Raw genomic sequence first — 4366 nt, 5'->3', positions numbered from 1 at the left:
AAAAACTATCTTCCCAGTATTAAAGATATGGCAATTAAAATAACTTCATATACAAAAAAATGTAAAAGTATAAACTACTGGTAAGGCTGCAATTAGATGGACAATTTTATATAAGACAGAAGTGTGAGTCAGTATCTGTGTCTGAAAATGAAAAGTGATGTCTGTGAAGAATTCTAAACAAACTCATTTTCTTTGGCCCAGCAAGACAAGTTAAGTGATACTAATTATGTAAAAAATCACCATGAAACTACTGGGAGAAAGCCCATTAAAATTTAGAAGTATTCATTGCTGGATTAGGATTCTTGGGGATTTTAACTATCTTCTTTATACATTTTTATACTTTTTAATATTTTCTGCCAAGAGCATTTTATTATCAGAAAGAACAATAGGCAATACAGAAAAGGAAATGAATAAGTAGAAGCAAGAATAAAAGAATGTTAGGAAAGTTTTCTTGACTTTTTTTTTTTTGCTTATATATTGAAACCTCAACCATTTTCTTCACAAATCAGAGATATATGTATTATGAAGAGAATGGCAAAATTTCTGAGAAAAAGTAAGACCCAGCCAAGAAATCACACTTTGAAAAGTAATTAACAGTGCAAAGATCACAGCTATCCCCTTGAGCTAATTTTGTGGATTACTCCTGAGTGTAACTATATATCACAGAAGAGCCCTTCTGAAGAAGGGGTAATGAGGGAAATCTCTTTGTAGGATTTCAGCTCTGTTTTTCTCATTGCTTAAACTTGAAGGTTTCTGGAAAGATATTCAAGCAGCTACCCTTGCATTCAGGTTCTAGAGACTTAGACAAATCAGGCATTTGTTAGTACATGTGTTAATGGTGATGATGATTTACTCCTTTTATTTTGGAAAAATCCTATCTGAATTTTCCCATTAGCCTAGGGACACAGCTAATATGTCATGGATATTTTATCAGGTCACTCAGAGGTCTGGATTTCTTGACTGACACTTCATTTAAACAGGTCAGTTAGCAGTAGTAAACAACCTTTTGAATTGGTTCCTCCCAGGGTAAAGGTGTGGCACAAAATGAAAAACTCATTCATATATTCGCTTTCACCACATAAAAGAACATTTTATTATTTGTTTTATTTTAGAATTAACTAGGAATGCTCTGGTAATTAAACACAGAAACACTCTGAATGTGTCCAAGAATAAACACAGCTTTGATATAAAATATTGATTTGGTTTGTGTAGAGCTTAGACTACAATGCAAAAATGAATAAATCCTGTTTCAACCTAATACACGGTCAAAGAAAAACCAGAGCTGGAGGGTAGAGTGGTAAAAACAGATTTTATTTAGGTTTATCACATTACAGGAAAAGATACTTCCGAAGAGAATGAGGCTCAACTCTGAATATAACATGGGCAAGTAGCAATTTATAGCCATGGAGCAGTGAGGGGTCAGTGGATAGAAAGTTAGGAGAAACATCAGAGGTAAGGAGAATTTTGGCAAAACTGAACTAACAGGATTCTTGTTGAAGACAAGTCAGGGTGATCAGACATCATCCGGGGAATAGTAAAGAATGGGAAACCCAATGAGATATCAAGGGGTTATATGATATGGTGGAAGAGAGGGTTCTTGCTAGAACTTAGCAGGGTTTTCACTAAAACTGAATTTTACAAGGAAGTGCACAGATGGGCCTAGGAGAAGGTTTTAGGAGCCTGACTAAAGTTTGGTCAAGCTAAGAATCTTCATACAAACATACTTGAATGAAGGCTTCTAAACAGTTTAGAAAGGTTTTTTTTAAGTATTTCAAGTGTTGTCTTAACACATGATTGTAATGTATTCAATAATGCATATTATGCTATTAAACAATAAAACATTGATAGAAATATATTCTAAAGCACAGAGTATTTTATCATGTTAAAACCTCTATTTGTATTTCAGAACCTTGAGGATCAATGCTGTCCCATGTGTTTGAGATTTTTGAGGCACGTATCTGTGGTACTTGCTTTAGACAGAGTTTTCAGTCAGAGGGAGGCTTTCTGCTACAACCTGACCTCTGGCTAGAAGTCTCAGAGAAGGCCAAGGTTACTGATTTGGATATTATTTGTTTAGAAACCCTTCCATTACTATTTTAACTATTGAAATTGTAATTATGATTGCCTTATAATAGGGAAATTAAGATTTCAGTTACGGAATCTTTTTCAATCAGGGAAAATTAATGGTGAGGAATAAACTGGTCTACCATGAGCAAACCTTTCAAGCTAAGGACTTTGGGTTGAACTTTCCTTTCATCACTGCTATTCTATCTCCCATCATACATTCTTTACATCATTCATATTTCTGATTCAATTTTCCTAATTTTCACACGGTTTATAGCAGTAACTTTTAACATTCTTCTGAAGCATACTGTTCTTAAAGGGCAAGAGTTTTTTTCTGTTTTGTTCATTTCTTTATTCTCAGTACCTGGAATAGTGAGTGCCTGGAACATTGTAGGAGCTGTTAAATTAATGGATAAAGTTTAACATAAACATTGAAATAGGAGATAAATCAACTGTTTTATCCCGATTATCTATAAGGAATTTCTGCCTTCAAGAAAATAAATTGCACAATGTAAAAGCTGTCGATTTTTGTTAGAAAATCAATCAAAATTAATACTCTTAAGTATGATTTTATAAATATATGTAACTTTTCAAATATGACATTCTTAATTACTTAACAAAATAATCTATTTATTGTTATATATTAATATATTAAAAATAATATATTTTACAACTACATGTTTTGGAAAGCAATCTATGCAAAGACTAAAATTAGATTAGAATACTAAACTGTTACAAGGAAATGCTCAATTTTATGAATCCCTCTGCCAGCCATTATTCCCTTCAAATTATGAGAGTTAGATAAAGCCCCTGATAGTTGCTACCCTGCAAACTTAATGTTTCTCTAGCAGCTTGCACACATATTAGACGGTAAATATTTCACTAAGGACGTAGTTTTCTTAGCAGGCTCCAATCAAGTGGCTTCTGCTTTACTAGTTTATCTGTCAGACACATTATGAGAAACCTCTTCCTTGTACAGGAATTTTTCTGTGTTGTTTATATAAGTATCACAGAGCGATGTGCTTGATATAAGTTGTTTCAGTTGGAAAGAACTCTGCCAAAGAAAACAGACAGGCAGCTGTTTGCATAGTGCATAAAAAATTTTTTTGTTAAATATGGCCACACCTGTGTAAACACAAACTTTATTTCCAAGAAGTACACTTGCAGCTGCAAAGACTTCCAGACATAGCCAGAGCAGTTATTTTTATTATACCATGTAATGTATGTAATAGGTTTTGGTCAGTTGTCAATCTCAAAAATCATGTAAGAAGGTTCATTTATTTTAATATAGACATTTTATTGTATTTTTCTAAAAATTTAATATGAAGATTTTATTTCCTATTTATGCTTCATATTGACTTAATTATATAAGTTTAAATTAATCAGAAATAATGTTCTAATCCTGCAAAGCACAGGAGAAAAAGCAGTTTTCCTCATTTATTCATTCACTTACACTTTCTATTATTTTCCCCAAGCAATAGCCAAGATACAGTAATCTTTTTTATTGTACATAATAATTGTACATATTTATATGGTACATGTGGTATTTTGATATATGCATACAGCATATATATCTGTAATGATATTTGATATGAAATGATCAAATTGGGGTAATTGGGATATCCATCAACTCAAATATTGATCATTTCTTTGTGTTGAGAACATTCCAGATCTTCTCTTCTAGTTATTTTTAAGTATACAATAAATTATTGTTCACAATATAAATCTATGCAATGTGTATAACATTCATATAATGGGATTAAAATTAGAATAGAATGGTAAACTTCTACGAAAAAATTTTTAATTTTATGAATCCCTCCACCATTCCTTTCAAATTACTGAAGTAAGATAAAGCCCCTGAGAGCTGCTACCCTGTAAACTAAATGCCCTACTGTGCAGTAGAACACCAGAACTTAGTTCTCCTAATTGTAACTTAGTCCAGTATCTCCTTATACTCTCCTCTTCCCTCTCCTTTTCAGCCTCTGGTAACCACCAATCAACTCTCAATCTCCATGTGATTCATGTTTTTATCTCTCAAATATGAAAGAGAATATGCCATATTTGTCTTTCTTTGCCTGGCTTATTTCACTTAATAGAATGACCTCCAGTTTCATCCATGTTGCTGCAAATGACAGTCTTCATTCTTTTTAACAGCTGAATAATATCCCATTGTGTTTATAAACCACATTTTCTTTATCCAGTCATCCACTGATGGACACATAGGTTGATTCTATATCTTGGTGATATGGTTTGGCTATATCCTCACCCAAATCTCATTTTCAATTCCCACGTGTTATGGGAG

The sequence above is a fragment of the Homo sapiens genome, chromosome 8, assembly GCF_000001405.40.
Source record: "Homo sapiens chromosome 8, GRCh38.p14 Primary Assembly".
In the NCBI taxonomy this organism is placed as follows: Eukaryota; Metazoa; Chordata; class Mammalia; order Primates; family Hominidae; genus Homo; species Homo sapiens.
Note: the sequence above shows the minus strand (reverse complement) of the source record.